The 27,930-nt window shown below is 35.8% G+C and overlaps 1 long non-coding RNA gene across 1 annotated transcript; it reads right to left on the reverse strand.

Moving 5' to 3' along the window:
* Nucleotides 1-1,227: 1,227 nt before the first annotated feature.
* Nucleotides 1,228-27,930, reverse strand: LOC105378959 (uncharacterized). Its single transcript, XR_948315.2, has 3 exons — nt 27,866-27,930; nt 26,538-26,612; nt 1,228-1,308 (listed from the first exon to the last, which is right to left on the reverse strand). It is a non-coding gene; the product is annotated as an uncharacterized LOC105378959 (long non-coding RNA).

Genomic DNA, 27,930 nt, shown 5'->3' on the forward strand with positions numbered 1-27,930 from the left:
GAAAAAAATCATACATTTTTAAAAGCAAATAATATGATGAATCATATTGATTTACATAAAAATATAGCATTTTGGCCGGGCACGGTGGCTCACGCCTGTAATCCCAGCACTTTGGGAGGCCGAGGCGGGCAGATGACAAGCTCAGGAGATTGAGACAATCCTGGCTAACATGGTGAAACCCCGTCTTTACTAAAAATACAAAAAATTAGCTGGGCGTGGTGGCATGCACCTGTAGTCCCAGCAATTCAGGAGGCTGAGGCAGGAGAATCGCTCGAACCCGGGAGGTGGAGGTTGCAGTGAGCCGAGATGGTGCCACCGCACTCCAGCCTGGGTGACAGAGTGAGACTCCATCTTAAAAAAAATGCTATATATATAGCATTTTATTAGGTAGAAAATAAAATTTGTTTCTTTTGACTCTATTAACCTTATTCAGGTGGGAGTGAAAAATTGTCTCTCATTAGAAAAATGAGTCAGTTATAAAACTGACAAAATGGTTTAAGGAGAAATTAGAGAAGCAGAAGGTGGTAATTGATTTTTAATGAGGCTTTGTAGTATAAGATTTGACGTAGCTTTTATTTTAATTATTTCTTCCTCTTATTCATGCCATAAAAGATTGTGTATTCAAAAACAATAAGGGGCAGCAGCATGAGAATTGTTTTGTGAAGAATAATTGTGTGGTCTTCTAACAAAATTTTGCAAAACATTGCTAACTCTTCTCCCAGAGTTTTGAGAAGAGAGTGATATATTTGTGATGTAGAACTATGAAAGATGATAAAGGTAATAAAATGCCACCTGCATTGTATGAATGTTTTCTGTGAGAATCTAAGTTTGCACCTATCATCATCATAATCATCATCATAAATCTATTTATCAAATACTTACCATGAGACAGATTTTTTTAACCAGAATCTTATCTTATTTAGTTTTCTTTATAGAGCAAATATATCAATTTAGATCTTACGTGAATTGTTAGATCCTTGGATCTTACATACAGTATATTAACAATGTCCAGAAGACCAACTTGTGGTGAAAAAAAAAGGTCAGAATATAGTATTCATTCCTATATACAATATGAAGCAACATTTATTTTCTGTGTATTTTTCATATAAATATAAATAATTAGTTCCATGTTATGCATACTTTGGGTACAGAAGTAGCTTCTTTGTTACTTAATACCAAGTTATAGCAGCCACATTATAAGAATATCATCTCTGCATCAAGCATATGAAAGTACATACCCTGGAAAGTGAAATCCTCTGGGATGAAATCCTCTGGGACCCACTGGTAATAACCATTCTAGGATATCAGCTGAAAAGTTTAGAAAAAAGATAAACCCCAACTGAATTATGATGCAGAAAGTGCAGAGCAGAAACGTTCTTGCAGTGGTTTTTGTTTTGGGCTTCCGTGGTAGGCAGAATGATAGCTCTCTAAAGATGCTCATGTTCTTATCCCTAAAACCTATGTTACCTTACAATGCTAAAGAGGCTTTCAGATGCGGTTAAGTTAAAGATTTTGAGATGGGGGAGAGTAGCCTGAATTACCTAGGTGGGTCCTATGTAATCACAAGGGTCCTTGTAAGAGAGAGGTCAGAGTTAGAGAATGAGGTATGAGGATGGAAGCAGCGGTCAGAGTGCAGGAAGGAATGGAAATGCAGGCAACGTCTAGAAGCTGGAAAAGTCAAACAGGCAAAAGCCTCTTAAAGCTTCCAGAAAAAATATTGCTCTACCATCCTGCTTTCAGACTTCTGATATGCAGAACTGTAAGATAATATACTCAAGTTGTTTTAGGCTACTAAGTTTGTGGCAATTTGTTATAGTAGGAATGGGAAACTAATACAGGCTTCACACTCAGAAAGATTCTCATTTAGACTATAATCTCCAAATTAATTATACATACATAGTTAGAAATACAATGACATGACTGAAAAATGAAGGCGCTGTTCATTCAAATTTGTATCCCATTACTAGACCCCCCAGCACTATGACTTTTTAAATAAATCCTTTGTCTTGTGAATAAATAAATGTGTTGTAAATGTTTAAAGCATAATTTTGCTAAATGTATACCACAATTTTATAACTTCATTTTGGCATGCCATTACTTTAAAAAAAATAGACTTAAAATACTTTTATGTTCAAGGGCGCAAGTGCAGGTTTGTTACATAGATAAACTTGTGTCATTGTATAGATTATTTCATCACACAGATATTAAGCCTGGTACCCATTAGTTGTTTTTCTTGATCCTCTCCCTACTTTCACCCTCCATCCTCTAAAAGGCCCCAGTGTGTGTAGTTTCTTCTATGTGTCCATGTGTTCTCATCATTTAGCTCCCACTTGTAAGTGAGAACATGTGGAAATTGGTTTTCTGTTCCTGTGTTAGTTTGCTAAGAATAATGGCCTCCAGACCATGAGCCAGATATTGTTAAATATCCGTTACAAACATGAACTTAATGCCTTGAAATAGGTGCTATTATTATCACCATTCCCATCATATATACGGTTAAACTAAGGTCCACAGAGTTTAGAAGCTTGCTCCACATCACTTAGACAGGAAGTAGGAGAGCCAGGAATCCAAATCAGGCAGACTGCTCCAGAGTGCATGTACTTAACTACCATGATGTTTCTTCTGCTTCATGAATTTCAATAAGAAACAGGAAAATTGCTCATTGCCAACCCTTTAAAACTGAAGCAGTGGGTTTGCCACCTACTGTCCCCTTTCAACACTTGGTACAGTTTTGATATTTTGAGAGAGTTCAGCCAGTGTGGTACAAGACTAATATCTTATCACTTTGTTTGTGCTTGTGAAGGAAGAGTATAGAATTCAGACTAAATAAAAGAGAATCAAATATTCATTTCTCGCTTTCACCAAATAAGAAATGATTATTAGATTCTCTTATATTTGCAGTCTCTTTTATTTACTCACAAAAATTTATGAGTAAATTTGTAGGGTTGATGGTTCATAATAATGAATTTCCCAAAATGTCCCTTTTTCTTAGGAGGCAGCATGGTATAATAAATAAGCTGTTTGGAGCATGATTGATATGAGGTAGAATCCCTATCTGGCCACGTCCTCCCTGTGTGTATTTGGGCATGTTTTCTAAACTTTTGTAGGTACAGTTTCCTCTTTTATAAACTGAAGACACACATCATTAAACTGAAGATAAGCATCATTCTCACATGGTGATAGAAAAGATAAAATGGAGTGAAAAGACATTGCCCTCAAGAAGTCTTATATGTTTTTCCTTTTAACTTGTGTTTCTTAGAACAGTGTTATTCAAGCCTGGTTGCTCATCAAAACCTGTATGGAGCTTCTAAATACCAAATGCCTGGACCCTAACCGTGAAACTTCAGAGTATCAGTTAAGAATTTAAAACACTTGCTTTACATAAAGTGCCCAATTTTCTCTGGAGCTGATGAGATGTCACAGGACAATGGATTTCCATTCAAGTCCTCTCAATCATTTCTCACTTTGGAGAAAAAGCAGCAGCTAATGCTGTATGACCAGAATAATGTATTCCTCAAATGACCACTGGCCGGGCACAGCACTCATGCCTGTAATCCCAGCACTTTGGGAGGCCGAGGCAGGCGGATCACGAGGTCAGGAGATCGAGACCATCCTGGCTAACACGGTGAAAACCTCTCTCTACTAAAAATACAAAAAATTAGCTGGGCATGGTGGCAGGTGCCTGCAGTCCCAGCTACTCGGAAGGCTGAGGCAGGAGAATGGCATGAACCTGGTAGGCAGGCTCACAGATTCATGAGATAAAAAATAATTGGTGTTTTAAATCACAAAGTTTTCAGGTGTTTGTTGCATAACAAAGCCTATATGGGAAAAAATCCTTGAATTTTCTAATCATTATCATTGCTTTAGTGAAGGGAACTGTGCCTCAGGTTGTTCTGATGATAATCCAAACCTCATTTCCAGATAATTGTAATTTACTTATCTGTTTAGAACATGTCATAAAGAATTTGTTGTTGGTCAGAAAGTGATCTGGCCTTTGCCTCACATTCTGGGAAGTAATCAACATCATACACTTCTGTCATCAAAGGAGGGTTTGTTTAGACCAAGGGTTGGCCATACCAGATATTAGGATGGGTTGAGGCTTGCAACACGTAAGTTTTAGGACATGAAATGACGAGGCCAGAAACACTAACCATGTGATTAAGAAGTTGGGGGGTGTCTTTGGGTCATATGATAATCTGTTGACTTCAATATTGAATTCAATCATGTGGATAATCACTCAATCATACATATGTAATTAATCCCCCCCCCCCAAATCTCCAAATACTGTATCTCTGGTGAGCTTCTCTTGTTGGCAGCACTACATGTATATTGTCATATATTAGTTCTGGAAAGACAATGTGTCTTGAGTACAACAGAATCTTCATATTTAGAACCCTTCCAGGCTTTGCCCTGAACAACTCTTTCTTTGGTTGATTTTAATTTGTATTTTTTCCTGATACTAAAGTAAAATCATGGCTAAAATAACTTTTAATGGGTTTTGTGAAGGCTTCTAGCAAATCATCAAAACTTAGGGTGGTTTTAGAAATTTCCCAAACCTACAGTTTGTGTCAGACATCTTGAATAGACCTGGCAATGCCCTCAAACTTTGAAGTTTGTCTAACTCTAGGTAGCTGGTACCAGGAGTGGAGTGGATGTTTCCAAGAATGACCCTGACTCACTGAAACATGTGGTTTGAAAAAAGAATGAATAAGTGGTAAGAGGATAAATGATTTTTCGATGGTCATGGGGTTACCAATAGTATGGAGCTGCAGATGTGTTGTGATCAATTAATGAAAGCAAAAGTTACCAATAGAGTTAAGGAATAATGGATCAAACTCTTGAAGAGTTTGAATGCATAATGGCATGCAAAGTAGTAAGAAATAAACTAAATCTACAATTTCTTGGTTATTGATATCTGTAATAGCTAAAATTAAAGAAAGGGAAAAAATTGAAGTGGATACTGATACTGGGCCAAGCTTGGATTCTGGCTGGTTCAAATTACAGCTTCTTGCCTCAACTCTCCTACCAATAAATAAAATAAAAATAAAACCAAAAATATATTAAGGTAAATGCTTACTTTGCACCTGGCTTATATCTTTACCAGTCTGAATCATAACTTACAGGCCCCTACCAAGGGGTAAAGTTGAAATAAAATCATATGAGTGAGTAAAATGATTAGAGGGTGGGAAAGAGACATTTCTGGCACTCTGTGGCATGGGAACTCTATGTATTATGATTCCAAAAGAAAATGAAAATGAATATTGTCTCAGGGACTAGGAAATACCATCAAACATATCTACATAAACATAATGTTAAACTCAAAGAACATGAAAGAGAAAGATCAGAAAATATTTGAAGAAATAATTGCTTAAATCTTTCTAAGTTTGATACAAGACATTAATCTACACATCTAAAAAATCTCACTAGATTCCAAGAGATCCACACCTAGATATGTCATAATAAAATGGTTAAAAGCCAAGCAAAAAGACTAATTTGAAAGTTGCAAGACAGAAGGGACTCATAACTTATAAAAAATCCTCAGTAAGATCAACAATTGATTTATCATCAGAAACATTATAGCCAGAAGGCAGTAGGATGACATATTCAAAGTGCTAGAAAATTAAAAAGCTATCAGCAAAGAATTCTATATTGACAAAACTATCCTCCAAAAAAAATTTAAATAATTTTTAACATAATTAGCTTTAAAAACACATAAAATATGCTGTTATCAAATAGACATATTAAAGAAAATCCTATCCTTCAGGTGAAATGGAAGAACATTAGACAATAACTTGAACCTATTTGAAGAATTGAAGAACATCAGTTAACTACATCAGTTACACAAAAGATAGTATAAATATATTTATTTTTTGTAACATTCCCTTCTGATTTAAAAGACAACTTTAGAAAGCAATAATTAAAAGTTTATGTTTATTGGCACAAAATATATAAAGATATAATGTATGACAACTAGACTAAAGGAGGGCTGACACTATAAAACAGTATATAATGTTTTTATACTTTATTGAAGTTAAACTGGTATTAGTCTGAACTAGATTGTTCTAAGTTAAAATACAAATTATATTTACCAGGGCAAGCACAAAGAAACAACTAAGACATATAATGAAAACTATAATAAAGCTTTAGAAAGTAGAAAAATTATTTAACACACACACAAAAAGGCAGCAATAGAATCAAGGAACAAAAAAAAATAAGACATACAGAAAACAGAAATAACAGGTAAATCCAATTTTATGAGCAATTACATTAAATGAAAATGGATTCATTATTACAATTGAAAGCTAGAAATTGGCCGAAGTTTTTTTTTTAAAAAAACTAACTATATACTGTCTAAAAGAGACAATTTAGATTCAAAGACGTAAGTAAACCTAAAGTAAAAGGATGAGAAAAAATATATTCTGCAAATAGTAAACAAAAATAACTAAAAAGAGAGCTAGAGTGGCTATAGAAAATAGGCTTTAAAGTGAAAATTGTTATTAGTAAATAAGGATATTTTGTAATAATGAATGGGCTAAACCATCAAACACTTACAAAAATTATAAACATATATGCATCTGACAACAGATCCCCAAAATACATGAAAGAAAAAATTTTCAGAATCAAGGGAGACTTAGAATATTTAACAATAACAATGGGAGACTTCAGTACTCCACTTCCAATATTGGATAGAAAAAGGCAGATGATTAACACTACACAGAAAACTTAAACAGTACTACCAGCCAACTACACCTCCCAGACATTTATAGAACAATCCACCCAAAAACAGCAGGATATGCATTCTTCCCAAGTACACATGAAACATTTACACAGATAGGCCAAGTTTAGTTAAAAAAATAAGCTTGGCAATTTAAAAGAGTAAGTATCATATAAAATATGTTTTCTGATTACAATGGGATTAAATTAGTAATCAATAGTAGATGAAAATTGGGAAATTCACAAATATGTAAAAATTAAAACTCTTAAATAGCCAACAATTCAAAGAAAAAAATCATAGATGAATTAAAAATACATTGAGATAAGTGAAACAAAAACCTATCATATCATATCTTATGGAATATAATCTAAAAAATTGCCTTGAGGGAAATTTATATCTATAATGATATATAATTAAAAAAGAAAAAACCTCATATCAATGAACTAGCATTTTACCTTAAAAAATCAGAAAACAATTGAGCAAACTAAAGCCTTGATATGGTTTGGCTGTGTCCCCACCCAACATCTCATCTTGAATTGTAATCCCCATAATCCCAATAATTCCCATGTGTCAAGGGTGGGACCAGGTGGAGGTAATTAGATCATGGGAGTAGTTTCTCCCATGCTGTTCTTGTGATAGTGGGTGAGTCTCACAAGATCTGATGATCTTATAAGCATCTGGCATTTCCCCTGCTTACACTCACTCTGTCCTGCATCCCTCTGAAGAAGATGCCTGCTTCTCCTTTGCCTTCTGCCATGATTATAAGTTTCCTGAGGCCTCTCTAGCCATGTGGAATTGTGAGTCAGTTCAACCTCTTTTCTTTATAAATTACCCTGTCTCAGGTATTTCTTCATAGCAGTGTGAGAACACACTAATACAACAAGTTGTTACCAAGTGGTGTGCTATTATAAAGAAACCTGAAAATGTGGAAGCAACTTTGGAACTGGTAACAGGTAGAGGTTCAATCAGCTTGGAGGGCTCCGAAGAAGACAGGAAAATGTAGGAAAGTTTGGAACTTCCTAGAGACTTGTTGAATGGCTTTGACCAAAATGCAGATAGTGATATGGACAATAAAGTCTAGGCTGAGGTGGTCTCATATGGAGATGTGGAACTTGTTGGGAACTGGAGTAAAGGTCACTCTTGCTATGCTTTTGCAAGGAGACTGGTGCCATTGTGCCCCTGACTTAGAGATCTGTGGAACTTTGAACTTGAGAGAGAAGATTTAGGGTATCTGGTGGAAGAAATTTCTAAGCAGCAAAGCGTTTGAGAGTAATCGGCACACAAAAGTTTGGAAAATTTGCACCTGATGATGCGGTAGAAAAAGAAAAACCCACTTTTTGGGGAGAAATTCAAGCCCACTGCAGAAATTTGTATAATGAGGAGTCGAATGTTAGTCACCAAGACAATGGAGAAAATATCTCCAGGGCATGTCAGAGATCTTCAAGGCAGCCTCTCCCATCACAGGCCTGGAGGCCTAGGAGGAAAAAATGGTTTCATGGGCTAGGTCCAGGGCACCCCTGCTCTCTGCAGCCTTGGGACATGGTGTCCTGTATCCCAGCTGCTTCATCTCCAGCCATGGTTAAAAGGAGCCAAGGTACAACTCAGGCCATTTCTTCAGAGTATGTACGTCCCAAGCCTTGGTGGGTTCCACATGGTCTTGATCCTGTGTGTGCACAGAAGCCAAGAATTTAGGTTTGGGAACCTCAGGCTAGATCAGAGGATGTATGGAAATGCCTGGATGTCCAGGCAGAAGGCTGCTACAGAGGCAAAGCCCTCATGGCGAACCTCTGTTAGGGCAGTTCAGAAGTGAAATGTGGAATTTTAGCCCCCACACAGAGTCCACACTGTGACACTGCTTAGTGGAACTGTAAGAAGAAGGCCACTGTCCTCCAGATCTCAGAATGGTAGATCCACTGACAGCTTGCACCATGCACCAGGGAAAACCACAGACACTCAATCCCAACCTGTGAAAGCAGGTGGGAGGTTGGCTGTACCCTGCAAAGCCACAGGGGTGGAGCTGCCCATGCTGTGGGAACTCACATCTTGCATCAGCATGACCTGGATGACATGGAGTCAAAGGAGATCATTTTGGAACTTCAAGGTTTAATGACTGCCCTGTTGGATTTTAGACTTGCACGGGGCCTGTATTCCCATTTTTTTTTGTTTTGGCCAATTTCTCCCATTTGGAATGGGTGTATTTATGCAATGCCTGGACCCCCATTGTATCTAGGAAGTAACTAACCTGCTTTTGATTTTACAGGCTCATAGGTGGAAGGGACTTGACTAGTCTCAGATGAGAATTTGGCCTTGGCCTTTTTGGTAAATGCTGCAATGAGTTGACTCTGGGGGACTGATGGAAGTGCATAATTGTGTTTTAAAATGTGAGGATATGAGATTTGGGAGGGGCCAGGCATAGAATGATATGGCTTAGTTGTGTCCCCACCAAAAATCTCATCTTGAATTGTAATCCCAATATTCCCAGTAATCCCCACATGTCAAGGGCAGGACCAGGTAGAGGTAACTGGATGATGGGAGTGGCTTCCTCCCTGCTGGTCTCATGATAGTGAGTGAGTCTCACAAAATATGATGGTTTTGTAAGCATCTGGCATTTCCCTTGTTTGCATTCCCTCCATCCTACCAATCTCTGAAGAAGATGCCTGCTTCTCCTTTGCCTTCTGCCATGACTGTAAATTTCCTGAGGCCTCCCCAGCTATGTGGAAATGTGAGTCAATTAAACCTACTTTTTTTTTAAATTACCCATTCTTGGCTATTTCTTCAGAGCAGTGTGAGAATGGACTAATATAAACTTGCATAAGCACAAGTAAGTACTTAATCATGATTACAGCAGAAACAAGTAAATAAGAGAAGAGAAAAACAATAAAGAAAAGCAACAAAACCCAAAGTTGGTTACTTGAAATGATCAACAAAATTGATAAAACTTTTGCTAGAATAATCAAGAAAAAAATCAGAAGGTTCAAATTATTAAAAGCCAAACTGAAAGAAGAGATAGTACTACTAACCTTACACAAATAAAAAGGATTATAAAGAAATACTATGAAAAACTACTTACTAGAAAATTAGTCAAATAAATCAGATGAAATAGAAAAAAATTATACAAAGATGTACACTACCAAAATTGACTTAAGAAGAAACAGAAGATCTGAATAGGCCGATAGCAAATAAAGAGATGGGATTTTGGTATAAAAACTTCACATAAAGAAAAATCCCAAAACAATATGACTTCTCTGGTGAATTCTACCAAATATTTAAAGAAGTGCTAAAACCAACCCTTCATAAACTCTTCCAAAAAATAGAAGGGTATGAATACTTCCTCACTCAATATATAAAGGCTTTATTATCCTGCAACCAAATCTTGACAAAGATATCACAATAAAAGAAAACTATAGACCAGTTACTCTTATGAATATACATGCAAATTTCTTCAACAATATACTGGTAAACTCAATCCAGCAATATAGGAAAAGTACCATACAACATAACCAAGTACAATTAATTACAGCAATATAAGATTGGTTCAACATACTAAAAATCAATCAGTGTAATACCTCACGTACCATGTTAAAGAATAAAGGTCAAAACCTTCACTATTTTCTCAAAAGATGCAGAATAATCACTTGACAAATCCAACACCCTTTCATGATAAAATATTCAACAAACCATGAATACATGGGAACTTCCTCAATCTGATAAACATGTCTACAAAAAAATTCAGAGCTAACATCATATTTAATGGTGGAAGACTCAAAGTATTTTACTTAAGATCAGGAAATAGACAAGAATATCCACTGTTATTACTTCTATTCCACATTGTGCTAGAGGTTTTATAAAGGACATTTGATGAAAAAAGGCATATGAATTGGAATGTGAAAAATATAAAACTCTCTCTACTTGTAGACAATATTATTTGTGTACAGAAAATCCTAAGAAATCAACAGCAGACTGTAGGTGCTAGTAAACAAGCTCATAAAATTTTCAGGATTCAAGGTCCATATGCAAAAATTGATTGTATATTTATAGATCAGAAATGAACAATCTAAAAATGAAATAAAGACAATAATTTGTTTTAAAATAGTTTTAAAAATAAAAGTGCTTAGGAATAATTTAACAAATGAAGTGAATAAGTTATACACTGAAAATGACAAAGCATAGTTGAAGGAAGTTAAAGAAGACCTGAGTAAATGGAATTGCATCCCTAGCACAAGGATTAATAGATTTTATTACTTAAGGAGTAAAACTCCTCAAGTTAATCTATATACATAATGTATTCCCTATCAAAATCCCAGCTGTATTTCTTTAGAAATTTACAAGCAGATCCTAAAATTTATATGGAAATGGAAGGGACCCAGAATAGCCAAAATAACTTTGAGAAAGAAAAGTAAAGTTAGAATTCACAATTCTCCATTTCTAAACATAATACAAAAGCATTAAGATAGACATGTAGATTAGTGGAATTGAATTGGGATTCCTGAAAAAAAAAACCCTTATGTTTACTGTCAATAAATTTTTAATATGGTGCAAAAACAATTTACTATGGAAAGCATACTTTTTTCAACAAATGATGCTGAGACAACTGGATGTTCACAAGCAAGAGAATTAATCTGGCCCCGCTACTTCATACCATACACAAAGTTAATTCAAAATGAATGAAATCTAAATGTAAGAGCTAAAACTACAAAACTCTAAGAAGAAAACAAATGTGTTAATCATCATGACCTTGGATTTAGACAATGATTTTAAAAATATGACAGCTAAAATAAAAGTAACCAAGGCAAAAAAGAAAAGATGAATTGAACTTTATCAAAATTAAATATTTCTGTTTCAAACGATACCTTGAAAAGATATTGTTTGATATCTTTTCAAAAGATATCTTGAAGATTCAGAAGCTATCTTTTTGAAAAAGATAGCTTGAAAAAGTGAAAAGATAATCCTAAGAATGGAAGACAATATTTAAAATCATGTATTTGATAACAGACTATTATCAATAATGCATAAAATGCTCTTACAACTCAACAATAAAATGGCTCAGTTTAAAAATGGACAAAGATTTATGTAGATTTTTTGCACAGATGATATATAAATATCCAATAAGCATATAAGAAGATGGATCAGGAAAATGCAAATCAAAACCCTGATGAGATACAACTTCATACCCACTAAGATTGCTATAATCAAAAAGATGAACTATAAAAGTATTGGTGAGGATGTGAGGAAATTGAAATTCTCATAGATTGCTAATGAGAATGTAAAATGGTACAGATACTTTGGAAAATACTTTGACAATTTCTTTTTTTTATTTTTTTATTATTATACTTTAAGTTTTAGGGTACATGTGCACAATGTGCAGGTTAGTTGCATGCTGGTGTGCTGCACCCACTAACTCGTCATCTAGCATTAGGTATATCTCCCAATGCTATCCCTCCCCACTCCCCCCACCCCACAACAGTCCCCAGAGTGTGATGTTCCCCTTCCTGTGTCCATGTGTTCTCATTGTTCAATTCCCACCTATGAATGAGAATATGCGGTGTTTGGTTTTTTGTTCTTGTGATAGTTTACTGAGAATGATGATTTCCAATTTCATCCATGTCCCTACAAAGGACATGAACTCATCATTTTTTATGGCTGCATAATTTCTAAAAAAGTTAAATATACCCAGCAATTCCACTCCTAGAGATATACGCAGGAGACCTGACAACAATATTCACACAACAATGTGTATAAGGCCATTTGTTCATAGCAGCATTACTAATAATAACCAAAAAGTAAAAACAACCCAACTGCCCATCAACTGATGAATAAAAATTAAAATGTGGTGTAGGTATACAGTGGAATATTATCCAGCCATAAAAGGGAATGAATTACTGATACATGCATAGTAAGTGTAAGAAACCAGGCACCAAGGCCACATTGTGTGACTGCATTTATATGAAATGTGCAGAATAGGCAAATTCATATAAACAGAAAGTAGATCAGTGGTTATCTGGGTATGAGGTGAAAGGGTAATGGGGAGTAATAGCTAATAGATATGGCATTTCTTTTTGGAGTAATACAAATGTTTTGGAATAATCTTGATAGTTGCACCACATTGTGAATATACTAAAAATCACTGAATGGTGTACTTTTAAAGTGTGAATTTTATAGTGCATAAATTATATCCTAAGTTTAAAAAAACTTAAAACAGTCCATGAGCTATATTTGCTTCATGGTCTGTATTTGCCAATTCCATTTATGAAATAATAATAGTAATGATAATGATGATAGTAGTACCTGAGGGAAAAATATTTTGTTGTTAAAATATTTCTATAAATTATTTTTCCACCATGCATGCCATGTAAAAGTTGATGTCTATATGCACCAAACAACGTTATTCATATTTCCTACTCTCCTATGTCAAACTCTTTCATTTTCTTGATTTTACTTAAAGTAGTTTACATGGAGCATCTAAATGAAGGGGATTCAGGGAGGTCTGAACTCATGTTACATTGTTAATTCAAAATGGATGAGATACAAATGTAAGATTTAAAACTATAAAACATCAACTTTTCAATATTTCACCAATTCAATACTTCAACTTGAAGTGAAGCTTCAAGTTTACTAAAGCTCTGATTTAGCAAATCCTACATAGGGTTTTTCACAGCTAGGGGGTGAGAAATTATGAGTAAGCTTTGAATATTTTCTTATATAAACTAAAAATTATGTATGAAATAAAAATTCTTTATTTAAAAATGAACATAAACCTTTGCCCTACTGCCACTGTTTTGCAGCAAATGTAGTTCGTTTTTCTGGTTTCTGATCCATCCAGCTTTTATTTCCTTTATGTTCTGGCAAGATGATCTTTAAAATCCTGAATACATACTTATAAAGCAATAACATAATGATAATTTAAAAATATGTATTTGGGGTAAATCTCTAAGAGAAACATATTCCATTACTGAAGATCCCAAATGGCAAATGAGACCAAAAGTTATGTAAACAGACATTACCCATCAGTAAGAATAATGAAGTTAGATACATGTTATAGTAAAAAGATGCCAGTGTTTTAAAATTCATGCTAAACAATTTTTTTTTCTGCGTTGATGAACTACAGTGTAGCTTCTTTGGCATGCGATTCAGTTACTATCAAAACCTATACATTTTAGTTTTTACACTTAACCTTCAATTGTCCTAGGAAAAATGTCTTCCATACCAGCAAACTAGAATAATATGATACTTGCATAAGTTCAGTTGGGCAATAATAATAATATTTTAGCTCACTTTGTGGTCATTTATAGACCTTTGCAAAGAAAAGACTTAAAATTTTGAATAGTTTTTTTGTTTCTCCTTGTTGGACATAAGTTTTATGTGTCTTTCCAAAGACATTTTTTTCTTTGCTGTGTTTCTTTGTTAGTTTTTCATAGTTATGTCCTTTCTTATAATATTTAAGTTTAACACTGTGATAGTGGATTGTACTTTGCTTTTATTTAACGGATCTCAAAGAGCCCATATCTGATATGCTACCTTTGTTTTCATCACAATACTTAAGTCAGGGCAAATAGAAACTCAAAAGGCTAAGTAGAAAATAAAGAACACTTGGTTTTCCAATGAGTGAAAAATAACTAGCATATTGGTGGAAAAAGAGATTTCCTAGCTTGCAAGAACTTTTTTTCTACTTTGCCACACTACACTAGGTATACAATGATGTCTGTTCTTATTAGGATTTGCAGAGTAAATATATCTTTCAGTGACTGTACAATAAAACTTTTTGTAGCAATGACCTGGTATTACTCTTAGGCTGTAACAGGACCTCTGGGATCTAATTTTAGTTGTATCTTGAATGGTGTTATTCTGTTTCTTTTTCCACATGTCACAGCATGATTGAGCTTAGACATTCACAAATTGTACTACATCATATTAGTATTTTCCTGATGAATGATTTTATAATTTCTTTCAATATTGTGGGCTGTCAGACATGGAGTAAGTCAAAACTTTAATTCAAATTTGTAGATACAAACAGTAGGTATCCTAAGTATTGCTGTCAAGATCATCTGCTTTTTGTTTCCATTTTTGTCTCCCTTTTTTAACTTTTATGCCTTCTCTCCACTGTTTATATGTTTTCCCAATTCTTTATGAAAATTTTCCTTACCTTTACCCAGAAGTAAGTGATTCTGGGCATGAACAAGAATTCTAATCTTAGAGGAGCATATCACATCCCTGAGGATTCCATACAATTTCTACCTTGTGCGCTCCACTATGTGATTTAGCATCCAGGTCCTGATAAATGTAAAAGGGATTATGCAACACTGTAATTAAACATCAGGGAACCTTGACACAGGGGCCTTTTGTTCAAAGAATGACAATTTTGGAAATATGAACTTGGATTCTGGTCTGTATTAAATGGCTACAATTGTCTTGGCCATAATCTTCCATATCTTGATATCTCTAGAATGCAAGCTTCTTGAAGGCAAGACTATTTTGTTTATTCATTTCAAAGATTGTTTATCTCATTGTTCTCAATTGTTAACAGAGAACTGGTATTCAAAGGGTGTTCATTAAATAAAATTTGGGGTGGGGGGTGGAGCCAAGATAGCCACATAGGAAGAGCTCCAGTCCACAGCTCCCAGTGTGAGCAATGCAGAAGGTGGGTGATTTCTGCATTTCCAACTGAGGTACCGGGTTCACCTCACTGGGGAGTGCGGGACAGTGGGTGCAGGACAGTGGGTGCAGTACACCGTGTGTGAGCCAAAGCAGGGTGAGGTATCGCCTTACCCGGGAAGTGCAAGGGGTCAGGGAATTCTCTTTCCTAGTCAAAGAAAAGGGATGACAGATGGCACCTGGATAATCGGGTCACTCCCACCCTAATACTGCACTTTCCCATTGGGCTTAACAAATGGCACACCAGGAGATTATATCCTGCACCTGGCTTGGAGGGTCCTACGCCCACGGAGCCTCACTCATTGCTAGCACAGCAGTCTGAGATCAAACTGCAAGGCAGCAGCGAGGCTGGGGGAGGGGCACTCGCTATTGCTTAGGCTTGAGTAGGTAAACAAAGCGGCCAGGAAGATTTAACTGGGTGGGGCCCACCGCAGCTCAAGGAGGCCTGCCTCTCTCTGTAGGCTCCACCTCTGGGGGCAGGGCACAAACAAACAGAAGACAGCAATAACCTCTGCAGACCTAAATGTCCCTGTCTGACAGCTTTGATGAGAGTAGTGGTTCTCCCAGCATGCAGCTTGAGATCTGAGAATGGGCAGACTGACTCCTCAAGTGGGTCCCTGACCACCGAGTAGCCTAACTAGGAGGCACCCCCCAGTAGGGGCGGACTGACACCTCACACGGCCAGGTAATCCTCTGAGACAAAACTTCCAGAGGAAGGATCAGGCAGCAGCATTTGCAGTTCACCAATATCTGCTATTCTGCAGCCACCGCTGCTGATATCCAGGCAAACAGGGTCGGGAGTGGACCTACAGTAAACTCCAACAGACCTGCAGATGAGGGTCCTGACTGTTAGAAGGAAACTAAAAAATGGAAAGAGCATCCACACCAAAAAGCCATCTGTACGTCACCATCATCAAAGACCAAAGGTAGATAAAACCACAAAGATGGGGAAAAAACAGAGCAGAAAAACTGGAAACTCTAAAAATCAGAGTGCCTCTCCTCCTCCAAAGGAACACACCTCCTCACCAACAACGGAACAAAGCTGGACAGAGAATGACTTTGACGAACTGAGAGAAGAAGACTTCAGAAGATCAAACTACTCCGAGCTAAAGGAGGAAGTTCGAACCCATGGCAAAGAAGTTAAAAAACTTGAAAAAAAATTAGACAAATGGATAACTAGAATAATCAATGCAGAGAAGTCCTTAAAGGACCTGATGGAGCTGAAAACCACAGCATGAGAACTACATGATGAATGCACAAGCCTCAGTAACTGAGGCAATCAACTGGAAGAAAGGGTATCAGCGATGGAACACAAAATGAATGAAATGAAGTGTGAAGAGAAGTTTAGGGAAAACAGAATAAAAAGAAATGAACAAAGCCTCCAAGAAATATGGGACTATGTGAAAAGACCAAATCTACATCTAATTGGTGTACCTCAAAGTGACGGGGAGAATGGAACCAAGTTGGAAAACACTCTGCAGGATATTATCCAGGAGAACTTCCACAGTCTAGCAGGGCAGGCCAACATTCAAATTCAGGAAATACAGAGAACACCACAAAGATACTCCTCGAGAAGAGCAACTCCAAGACACATAATTGGCAGATTCACCGAAGTTGAAATGAAGGAAAAAATGTTAAGAGCAGCCAGACAGAAAGGTCGAGTTACCCGCAAAGGGAAACCCATCAGACTAACAGCGGATCTCTCAGCAGAAACTCTACAAGCCAGAAGAGAGTGGGGGCCAATATTCAACATTCTTAAAGAAAAGAATTTTCAAGCCAGAATTTCATATCCATCCAAACTAAGCTTCAAAAGTGAAGGAGAAATGAAATACTTTATAGACAAGCAAACGCCGAGAGATTTTGTCACCACCAGGCCTGCCCTACAAGAGCTCCTGAAGGAAGCACTAAACATGGAAAGGAACAACCAGTATCAGCCACTGCAAAAACATGCCAAATTGTAAAGACCATCGAGGCTAGGAAGAAGCTGCACCAACTAACGAGCAAAATAACCAGCTAACATCATAATGACAGGATCAAATTCACACATAACAATACTAACCTTAAATGTAAATGGGCTAAATGCTCTAATTAAAAGACACAGACTGGCAAACTGGATAAAGAGTCAAGACCCATCAGTGTGCTGTATTCAGGAAAACCATCTCACGTGCAGAGACACACATAGGCTAAAAATGAAGGGATGGAGGAAGATCAACCAAGCAAATGGAAAACAAAAAAAGGCAGGGGTTTCAATCCTAGTCTCTGATAAAACAGATTTTAAACCAACAAAGATCAAAAGAGATAAAGAAGGCCATTACATAACAGTAAAAGGATCAATTCAACAAGAAGAGCTAACTATCCTAAATATATATGCACCCAATACAGGAGCACCCAGATTCATAAAGCAAGTACTTAGTGACCTAAAAAGTGACTTATACTCCCACACAATAATAATGGGAGACTTTAACACCCCACTCTCAACATTAGACAGATCAACGAGACAGAAAGTTAACAAGGATATCTAGGAATTGAACTCAGCTTTGCACCAAGCAGACCTAAAAGACATCTACAGAACTCTCCACCCCAAATCAACAGGATATACATTCTTTTCAGCACCACACCACACCTGTTCCAAAATTGACCACATAGTTGGAAGTAAAGCACTCCTCAGCAAATGTAAAAGAATAGAAATTATAACAAACTGTCTCTCAGACCACAGTGCAATCAAACAAGAACTCAGGATTAAGAAACTCACTCAAAACCACTCAACTACATGGAAACTGAACAACCTGCTCCTGAATGACTACTGGGTAAATAATGAAATGAAGGCAGAAATAAAGATGTTCTTTGAAACCAACAAGAACAAAGACACAACATACCAGAATCTCTGGGACACATTTAAAGTAGTGTGTAGAGGGAAATTGATAACACTAAATGCCCACAAGAGAAAGCAGGAAAGATCTAAAATGGACACTCTAACATCACAATTAAAAGAACTAGAGAAGCAAGAGTGAACACATTCAAAAGCTAGCAGAAGGCAAGAAATAACTAAGATCAGAGCAGAACTGAAGGCAATAGAGACACAAAAAAATGCTTCAAAAAATCAATGAATCCAAGAGCTGGTTTTTTTTTTTGAAGGGTTGAAAAAACCCTTGAAAAAATCAATGAATCAAGGAGCCAGGTCTATCAACAAAATTGATAGACCACTGGCAAGACTAATAATAAAGAAGAAAAGAGAGAAGAATCAAATAGACACAATAAGAAATGACAAAGGGGATATTACCACCAATCCCACAGAAATACAAACTACCATCAGAGAATACTATAAACACCTCTACGCAAATAAACTAGAAAATCTAGAAGAAATGGATAAATTCCTCGACACATACACTCACCCAAGACTAAACCAGGAAGAATTTGAATATCTCAATAGACCAATAACAAGCTCTGAAATTGAGGCAATAATTAATAGCTTACCAACCAAAAAAAGTCCAGGACCAGATGGATTCACAGCCGAATTCTACCAGAGGTACAAGGAGGAGCTGGTACCACGCCTTCTGAAACTACTCCAATCAATAGAAAAAGAGGGAATCCTCCCTTACTCATTTTATGAGGCCAGCATCATCCTGATACCAAAGCCTGGCAGAGACACAACAAAAAAAGAGAATTATAGACCAATATCCTTGATGAACATCGATGCAAAAATTCTCAATAAAATACTGGCAAACCGAATCCAGCAGCACATCAAAAAGCTTATCCACCATGATCAAGTGGGCTTCATCCCTGGGATGCAAGGCTGGTTCAACATATGCAAATCAATAAACATAATCCAGCATATAAACAGAACCAAAGACAAAAACCACATGATTATCTCAATAGATGCAGAAAAGGCCTTTGACAAAATTCACAACCCTTCATGCTAAAAACTCTCAATAAATTACGTATTCATGGGACGTATCTCAAAATAATAAGAGCTATCTATGACAAACCCACAGCCAATACCATACTGAATGGACAAACCTGGAAGCATTCCCTTTGAAAACTGGCACAAGACAGGGATGCCCTCTCTCATCACTCCTATTCAACATAGTGTTGGAAGTTCTGGCCAGGGTAATCAGGCAGGAGAAGGAAATAAAGGGCATTCAATTGGATAAAGAGGAAGTCAAATTGTCCCTGTTTGCAGATGACATGATTGTATATCTAGAAAAACCCACCGTCTCAGACCAAAATCTCCTTAAGCTGACAGGCAACTGCAGCAAAGTCTCAGGATACAAAATCAATGTACAAAAATCACAAGCATTCTATACCCCAATAACAGACAGAGCCAAATCATGAGTGAACTCCCATTCACAATTGCTTCAAAGAGAATAAAATACCTAGGAATCCAACTTACAAGAGATGTGAAGCACCTGTTCAAGGAGAACTACAAACCACTGCTCAATGAAATTAAAGAGGATATAAACAAATGTAAGAACATTGCATGCTCATGGGTAGGAAGAATCAATATTGTGAAAATGGCCATACCGCCCAAGGTAATTTATAGATTCAATGCCATCCCCATCAAGCTACCAATGACTTTCTTCACAGAACTGGAAAAAACTACTTTAAAGTTCATATGGAACCAAAAAAGAGCCCGCATCGCCAAGTCAATCCTAAGCCAAAAGAACAAAGCTGGAGGCATCATGCTACCTGACTTCAAACTATACTACAAGGCTACAGTAACCAAAACAGCATGGTACTGGTACCAAAACAGAGATATAGACCAATGGAACAGAACAGAGCCCTCAGAAATAACGCTGCATATCTACAACTATCTGATCTTTGACAAACCTGACAAAAACAAGAAATGGGGAAAGGATTCCCTATTTAATAAATGGTGCTGGGAAAACTGGCTAGCCATAGGTAGAAAGCTGCAACTGGATCCCTTCCTTACACCTTATACAAAAATTAATTCAACATGGATTAAAGACTTACATGTTAGACCTAAAACCATAAAAACCCTGGAAGAAAACCTAGGCAATACCATTCAGGACATAGGCATGGGCAATGACTTCATGTCTAAAACACCAAAAGCAATGGCAACAAAAGCCAAAATTGACAAATGGGATCTAATTAAACTAAACAGCTTCTGCACAGCAAAAGAAACCACCATCAGAGTGAACAGGCAACCTACAGAATGGGAGAAAAGTTTTGCAACCTACTCATCTGACAAAGGGCTAATATCCAGAATCCACAATGAACTCAAACAAATTTACAAGAAAAATACAAACAAACCCATCAAAAAGTGGGTGAAGGATATGAACAGACACTTCTCAAAAGAGACATTTATGCAGCCAAAAAACACATGAAAAAATGCTCATCATCACTGGCCATCAGAAAAATGCAAATCAAAACCACAATGAGATACCATCTCACACCAGTTAGAATGGTGATCATTAAAAAGTCAGGAAACAAGAGGTGCTGGAGAGGATGTGGAGAAATAGGAAAAATTTTACACTGTTGGTGGGACTGTCAACTAGTTCAACCATTGTGGAAGTCAGTGTGGCAATTCCTCAGGGATCTAGAACTAGAAATACCATTTGACCCAGCCATCCCATTACTGGGTATATACCCAAAGGATTATAGATCATGCTGCTATAAAGACACATGCACACGTATGTTTATTGCAGCACTATTCACAATAGCAAAGACTTGGAACCAACCCAAATGTCCACCAATGATAGACTGGATTAAGAAAATGTGGCACATATACACCATGGAAAGTATTCCAAACACCGCATGTTCTCACTCATAGATGGGAATTGAACAATGAGAACACATGGACACAGGAAGGGGAACATCACACACTGGGGTCTGTTGTGGGGTGGGGGAAGGGGGGAGGGATAGCATTAGGAGATATACCTAATGCTAAATGATGAGTTAATGGGTGCAGCACACCAACATGGCACATGTATACATATGTAACAAACCTGCACGTTGTGCACAGGTACCCTAAAACTTAAAGCATAATAAATAAAATAAAATAAAATAAAATAAAATAAAATAAAATAAAATTTGGCTGAATGATACCTCTCAGAGAATAACTGGGCTGAATAATGACTAAAATCCATCAATTCTAAATTTTTGAAGGTTTTATAACTGTATTTTACAAATAAAAGGAGGATATATTATAAAAGATTTATCTTTCAATATTATACAACTAAAACAGAAATTAATTATGAAATGTATCATTATTACATGACTTACATATCCTTTGGGTCAATTAATATCCTCCCTATGACAAACCCTATTATGCTGTTAGCATAAACCATTTCTAGTTACAGTTTCCTCCCTCAGCTGTGTTTTGAAAAGGTTTTAAGCTTTTGCCGACAGGACTCTAGGCAAAATGTCATTTTCGCTAAAATTTAATAAGATTTCAATATTTTACTCTGTTTTTCCATTTCTCTCGGAAGCTGTCAAAGTAAACCACATTGGCCTTGTTTTAGTGAAGAAACACAAAGTCTGTGGCTTAGTTATAGGAAAATGAAGCCATTTAATGAAAATGGAAATTGATTTATTTACCCCCTAAGCGGAAGTTTAATTTCTGATGTGCCTGCTGAAAGTGAAAATTTTTCCCACACTGCTCTACGTCATTCATGTAGAAACTTTAAGATTCTTTAAAAGTATCTACAAAATTAGGTGAAGGGTAAAATTATGAATTTCCCACTTGGAAGAAAGTGGCTTAAATTCTATCCAATTATTTGCCATGACAACCAGCTAAACACAAAAGGGCCAGAATGGATGTAGAGTACTGCCTCTATAATCATCACTGTATGTCCTTCAAATCATGGATATGCAGCACCACTATCCTGGGCTACTTCAGGGCCATAAGCCTACATGGTAATTACATGCTTTGGAACACTCCACTTAAGTGCATCAATAATATAGTGAGTGAACATGTTCTTTAATTCTGCACCTGTAAATGGAGGGAAAAATAAAGAAAATATCTCTATCAAAAAAAGGAAGAAAAATAAATTAGACAGCCAAATTATTTTAAGCCGCTTTGTGAGGTCTCTGTCTAAAACTCAGATGGTTAGTAATCGAAGCTTCTCCATAAATATAATCAAATGACAAAATATCTCTGCTTAAATGACTGCAAAGTTTAGGACATAAAAAAACAAAAGATGCAAAACAAGCCAAAAATATCTAATTAAACTTGATATTTTATCTTTAATACACTCATTTCAACTGTGCATTACAATATTTCAGGGCTACTTTTCTTTCCATTGCCATGTCTCTATATAACTTCTATTAATGGAATTTCAAAGATAACACCTACTGATCCAGGACTTCAACACAAAGGAAGAGTTAACACATCATGGCATTACAAAACTGTAGTGCTCTGCATGGTATTTCAGAATAAGGCATGTGTTTGTGTGTGTGTGTGTGTGTGTGTGTTTCATTTTATAGACTTGAAATCCATATTTTTCTCTGAAGTGCAAAGTTAATACAGTTAATTCAACAGAGAAGAAGTAACTCAATGGAACCTCAGGGAGAATAAGTGATTGGTATAAAACTGTAAGACCTTCCTCCCACCTATATATTTCAATAAAACAAAATGGCTAATTTTTTAAAATCATAAATTTATCCTAAAAGTAAAATATTTCTGAATGGCTAATTTTCTACAGTCTTATGGAATTTCAGAGGAATTCTTATGAAAAATAGGCACACATAATTTATAATAAAGTTACATTTTACCATTGGAAACAAACCACGTTTTTTTAGTGGATCCATCCTAAGTTTTTCACTTGACAAAACAAGAAAAAAAAAAAGATGCGGTCTGTATAGATATGCATATTTCTTATGCCAATTAACTAAGACTTTTTAACGAATTAATGTGAAATATGCCTTTGTATATTGACTCCAAGATACAAGTGTTATTTACATTAGAAAATCTTGCCATAATTTCAGAAAATCCCATAAAACTCAGGAAAATCACATATGTAATGTTCCACAAACCACAAAGGAAACAGAAGGGATGTCCTAAATAATCAGAGCAGAATGTTGTGGTTTTCAAAAAAATAGTTATTTCAGATTGAAGTTGTATTTGTTTTTTCTTGTCATTTGACATTTGTAATTAATGGATGTACATGTGATTTACTAACTTAATATTTAATACATGAGTATGATCTTGTGTTCTGTTAATTTCCACACATTTTACTTTTACAGATAATCATATGCCTCAAATGTTGCTTTTATGACCAAGAGCATTGAGTTTTCCCATTATTTAATCAATATACAATTTTTCTAATAGTAAATATATTTTTTGAAAAAATGCAATTGTATTTACCATATGGAAATTGTTAAAATAATGAAATCCATTATATTTTCAAAGCTGCACATAGAAACTTTACCAAGAAGTTGCAAGCAGCAGTTATTAGAATTACGTATTTAATATTAACTATTTCTTTATGCCATCTCTTGGACTTCTGAAGAATTTTACTGGTCAGGCAGTAGATTTTGAAATTTGCATGCAACTCTTATTGTATAGATATCCTGCTATTATAAAAGTATTCTACTATATACAAAAGCTAATGTTTTAAAGTTTAAGACTGATCTCCAAATACAAATTATGTTAATTTGCAAAGAACTATCAGCATACAAAATCTGAGATGAAACACTGGTTATTTTTTGAAGGAAATACAGATAATCGTTTGAAAGTTGAATCTTATTAGTCTTTATAGTTTTTCTCTTTCTGACAGAGATGCATAAGCATGCCAATTGTTTACAACTATGTAAAATGTATTAGTATATTGCTGGGGCTTGGCTTATAAATGTAGTGTGGAGAGAATATTACAATTGAATTTCAAGCGCCTAAGAAGGATTTATGATAGAGGTTTTTGGCAGAACTTTTCTAAATTACAGTAATGACTCACTTGGAGTATCTTATTAATGGTACAGACAACAAGAAACAGAAGTGGAAATGTTTAAGTCTGAGTGTCCAAATGACCCCACATCTGCTTTTTGCTTTGTGTTTTATTTTGTTTCGTTTGACTTTGTCTTCTTGATTAGATGGTAATTGATAATATCAAAGCAAGACAACTTTAAAAACTTAGATCACTTAATTGGCCTGCATCTGTGATCTCAGTGAAAATCTTAGCAAGAATGTCACCTTTGAACAGACAACTGAGTACAGGATATTAATCAGACATACAAACTATCTCTTGGTGTCATCTAGTGGTTGTGTTTCATCACTGCATAAAAGAAATGCCTTATTGGTTTTCTGAGTAAAGATTGTTTTATTACATTTGTTTCTGAGTGACTTGAGTAAAAGAAGCTGCCATTTTTAACAGACAAGAGAAGGTTAGTAGCAATCAAGCCTTTCTGGGCTCTTCACCCTGGCCCTTTACAGCGCTTCTTATAAGGTCAAGACACATCGATGGAAAGCTCAGTTATCGTACACTGGTGTGAAGGTGCTGTCTGCTGCCCTATTTAGGCTGCATGACTGAGTGACTGGGTGTTCTTAAGGGACATCCACAGCCAATACACAAGGTATTTTCTCTCAGCTGGCTGAGCAGCACTAAGGGGATTCTGACAGACTGAGCTGACATGCTAACAATCTGATTGCAGACGGCAATGGTAGGAGCCTCCAAGGGAGAGAGAAGAGTCCCCTGACCCTCCTGTCATCTACTCTTTCAATCTCTAGCCTAGGATAGGAACACTGCACAACTATCACAGGAAAAGGTGACATAGTGAAAATAACTTATCCACAAATGTGCTGAAATGTCATCTCTAATGTTATAGTTCCTTTAAGACGAACTATAATTTCTAATATAACTTTTCAGTTTTGAAAGGAAAGGGCACCAAGGCTGGGTTGACAGAAATAAATTATCCAGATAATTAAGGCTAACTACTCCACTTTCTCCTACTCGCCGGCCCACGTGCAGACAATAATGGGCTCAATTATTTATAATTCCGATTTTTTTTCCCTTTCAAAAAGGGATTTTCTATAAAACCGGTATTTGAAACTCTCAAAATTATTATCATTAGGAAACAGATTATTAACAAAATACAATCAGGAAATGTATGAATTTTCAGTGATCATAGTTTGTGTTATGTCCAATGTAACAAAGACAAGTCATAATTAAAAACATGGTAAAAATGAACTTGATGTTTTATTCTAATTTTTTCATAATTACTTGATATTTTTAGTCAAAATCTGTGGGTTTAAAATATGATCTTCATAGATTTATCAATCTTAAGCAAGATATTCCTCTACATACTTACAGAAACTCATTTTATATTACAAAGTGAACAGTTCTTTTGTTATTGAATTTGCATGATGATGATGATTATTTTTTTAGACAGTCTCACTGTGTTGTCCGGGCTGGAGTGCAGTGGTGTGATTTCAGTTCACTGCAAACTCAACTACCCAGGTTCTGGTGATTGTCCCACCTCAGCCTCCCTAGTAGCTGGGACTACAGGTGTGCACCACCATGCCTGGCTAATTTTTATATCTTTTGTAGAGATGGGATTTCATCATGTTGTCCAGGTTGGTTTCAAACTCCTAGGCTCAAGCCAGCCACCCACTTTGGCCTCCCAAAGTGCCAAAATTGCAGACATGAGCCACTATGCCTGGCCTGAATTTGCATTAGTTTTAATGTTTACTTTCTTTTATCTATAGGTCTTTAATTTCCAGATGTCTTATACACAAGCATAAATTGAGAAAAAGAATTGAATGAAACAAGAATAGGTGTACATTTCCTAAAATTTCTCTTTGCTTTTGTTACAAAAGAATTTGCTATTGCTATTGTTCTTGAAATGAGAACACATGTAGTACACAAGTACATATATAGATGTCTATAAGATATATGTGTATATGCATATACACATATATAAATACATATACATATATAGATATATATGCACAACTATATATGTGTATATATATTATTCAACAGAAATACTATCAATTTACACACATATTAATTCAAAATATATATGATCAATTAGTCCTCTGTAAATCCCCTCAAAACATATTACCTTTCTTCTAAAATCAATCACCATATTAGATCATTTAATTTCATATTTTGTGTGAGAAAGAACCAAGTTTGGTGTAACGTGGCTCTAATTCTGATTGTTAGCTGTACATTATTTCATCTTATACAGCAATTAATTGAGAATAATGAATACTTACATGGTGGCATATGTATTTGTAGCATTCATAAACCTCTTGTCAGATTTGATTCAACTTACAGGAAGTATCTGAAATCTGAATCGCAAAGCCTGATATAATTTTCAGTTCATTAATACATTTTTAAAGACTATTTCCTGATACTACAGCTAAAATCAGAGAAACGATTGTTGAGGAATGAAACAGTTGATGTAAATATTTCACATAAAGAAAATGGAGCTCTGTCTTAATGATCTCCCCCTAATTTCATTTTAACCTCAGTGAACAAAATATGTACCATCTAATAAGGAATTAGGCAAATACCTACCAGCACTAGCAAATAGGAAATTTAGGCCTTCTCAGTGTTAACAGAACTACATACAGACAAGAGCAAGCAACCTTAAGTCGCAGTTGAAATAGTTGGTTAAGCAATCCATATGGAAATTGAGAATGAGAATCAACAGAGTATCCATTTACCATAATTCATTACTCTTAAGAGATATTCTTTAATATTTAAATTAGCTGTCTTAAGTGGCCTTATTGAATAGATTATTTTGTTAATTTATGTAGTGATACTTTTGATACTCAAGTCTACTGGAATTCCATTTCATTTTCCTACAGTATTAGGAAAATAATGGACAAAGTGATGGATTAAAAACACCTTCTCTTTAGTTTTTTTTCCTATTCATGTTACATATTGCAGTAATCTGTGAGTTTAATTATATATTTGTCCAAATGCTGAAAAATAGTATTCTTCACTCAGTAGGGCAACCTGATGACCCATACTCCTTAGTAAGTGAATGCAGCAACCATACTGTATTGTAACATTGCATAATTGGCACCTTCACCTCCTATACCTCTATGTATTTTCACTTAATCTAAGAGTGCCTATACATTGGAATAATTGCCTCAATTTTACAGGTTACAAAAACAAACTTACTTGACTCTCAAGCCATATATTAAGTTGTGAAACTGTGATTTAATATGAAGTCTGAGCTTCGCATATAATATAATTTGTAAAGCATAGGAATTCCTCTTTCAAAATAATAGAATAACCACAGATTTGTTAGAATCTATTCTCTAAAGATAGCTTTCATTTAAAAGAGATAGATCTGCCAGTTACATGCTAATTTTCTGTTTCTTCAGACTGTCAAAATCATTCCTTTACACAACTGCACATGCCATGTAGCTAAATAATGGCCAAGGAGATAACATCACAAGTGTTTTGTGATTCCCAGAATTCTCAGAGGAAAATGGATATGCCTACTTTTTACCCTCATTTTTCCTACTGTCTACTAGTAGATGTGATGGCTCAATTTTGAGGCACCATTTTGTACCATGAGGTGACATACTAAGAATGGCGAAGCAGCAAGATAAGGATCCTGATGACTCAGACAACAGATTAGTCCTGGATTAC

Source organism: Homo sapiens, chromosome 5 (genome assembly GCF_000001405.40).
Source record: "Homo sapiens chromosome 5, GRCh38.p14 Primary Assembly".
In the NCBI taxonomy this organism is placed as follows: domain Eukaryota; kingdom Metazoa; phylum Chordata; class Mammalia; order Primates; family Hominidae; genus Homo; species Homo sapiens.